The sequence below is a fragment of the Homo sapiens genome, chromosome 3 (genome assembly GCF_000001405.40).
Source record: "Homo sapiens chromosome 3, GRCh38.p14 Primary Assembly".
Taxonomy (NCBI): domain Eukaryota; kingdom Metazoa; phylum Chordata; class Mammalia; order Primates; family Hominidae; genus Homo; species Homo sapiens.
Genome location: NC_000003.12, coordinates 193,221,293 through 193,223,761, shown reverse-complemented (window position 1 = coordinate 193,223,761; position 2,469 = coordinate 193,221,293).

Sequence of the window (2,469 nt, the reverse complement as noted above, 5' to 3'; positions counted from 1 at the left end):
TTAAAATGCTACATTAGAAAACATTCACTCAGTGCAAAAGAAAGCAGTAAGGGAGGAATAGAGTAATAAAAAAGACAAAAGACATGGAAAACAAAAAGTAAAATGGCAGACATATCTAAATATATAAAAAATAAAATGTGAATGGATAAATAACCAATTAAAAGGTAGTTATTTTCAGACTAGATAAAAAGCATAACCCAAAGCCTGTCTTATTTAGATCACATATAGTAGATAAGTGTGTCTATATGTCATCTACATAAGGTACACTAGTCATATTTAGTAGATGACTATATGTCATCTACATAAGACACACTTTGGATTCAAAGACACAAAAAGATTAAAAGTGAAAGAAAGGGAAAAGATATATTATGCAAACAGCAATCTCAAGAAATCTTGAGTGGCTATATTAATGTCAGACCAAATACATTTTAGATTACAAAAATTACTAAAGATAAAGAGGGACATTTGATAATGATAAAAGGATCAATTCAGAACTAAAATATAACAATTATAAATATGTATGCACCTAATAACAGATCACAAAAATACATGAAAAAACCTGACAGAAATGAAGGGAAAAGGAGGAAGTTCAACAATAAGAGTTGGAGACATCAACACCCCCCTTTCAATAATGGGTAAAAGTAGACATAAGGTTAACAAGGAAATAGAAAAAAACTATAACTATACCTAGAAGACATCTACAGAATATTTTACAAAACAACACAATATGCATTTTTCTCAAGTGCACATGGAACATTCTGAAAGATCAATCACAGTAAAACCATGAAACAAAGTTTCAGTAAATTTGAAAGAATGTAAATAATGCAAAGCATGTTCTCTTACCACAATAAAATACAATTAGACGTCAATAATGGAAAATTTGGGGAAACTCACAAATATGTGGAAATTGAACACACTCCTAAATAATCAATAGGACAAGGAAGAAATTAAAGAGAAACAGAAGATACCTTGAGATGTATGAAAATGAAGACATAACATAAGAAAGCTTATAGGATGCACCTAAAGCAATGCTTAGACAGAAATTTATTACAATAAAAGCCTGTATTAAGAAAAAAAGAAATAAATCAATAGCCTAATTTTGCACCTTAAGACACTGAAAAAGTAAAAGGAGACTAAACCTAAAACAAGCAGAATGAAGAAAATAATAATTAGAGTAGAAATTAATTACATCGAAATAGAAAAAAATAGATAAAATCAGTAAACCCAAAAGCTGGTTCTTAGAAAAGATCTACAAAATTGACAAACTTTTACTAGTTTGACTAAAAAATAAAAAGAGAAAAGACTCAGATTACTAGAATCAGAAATGAAAGAGAGGACATTACCACTGACCTTATAAAAATAGGAAGGATTATAAATAAATACTGTGAACAATTGTACACAAACAGATTAGACAAATGAAATGGGCCAAGTCCTAGAAAAACACAAACTACTAAAGCTGACTCAATGTGAAATAGTTATTCCGAATAGACTTATAATAAGTAAAGAGATTGGATCAAGAATTTTAAAACTATCCATGAGAAAAGCCCAGGCCCAGATGGCTTCACCACTGAATTCTATCAAACATTCAAAAAAGAACTAATATCAATTTTTCACAAATTCTCCCAAAAAATAGAATGAGAAGGAACACTTTCCAAATATTTTAAGCCACTATTACTCTGATACCCAAACCAGAGAAAGGCATTACAAGAAAATTAAAACTGCACAACAATGTCTCTTATGAATGTGGATGCAAAAATCTTCAATGGCATACTAGCAAACCAAATCCAGCAACATACAAAACAAATTATACTTATACTCTATGACTAAGTGGGATTTATTCCAGGAATTCAAAATTGGTTTAACAACTAAAAACTTAATTAATGTACTAAATCATCAATAGAACAAAAAAACTCACATGGTCATTTCAATAGGCAAAGAAAAAGGCATTTGACAAAATCCAACACCTTTTAATAATAAGAAACCCTCAGCAAACTAGGAATAGAAGGAAACTTTCTCATCCTGACAAAGACAACCCATAGAATAGGATAAAATACTTGCAAATCACACATCTGATAAGGGACTTCTATCCAGGATATATAAAGAACTCCTACTAAAAAACTCTTATAATAAAAAGACAACCAAATTTTAAAATGGGCAAATGATTTGGATAAGCATTTCTCCAAAAAAGATGTATACAAGTGGCAAATAAGCATATGAAAAGGCACTTGACATCAGTCATCAGCATCCACTAGGAAGGTGAGAATAAAAACTAACAAGAAATGTTGGTGAGGATGTGGAAAACTCAGAACTTTCATACAGTCATAGTGGGAATGTAAAATGGTACAGCCACTGTGGGGAAGAATCTAGTAGTTCCTCAAATAATTAAACCTTGAGTTACTATATAACATAACAATTTCACTTCTAGGTATGCATCCAAGAGAGATGAAAATGTATGTCCACACAAAAACT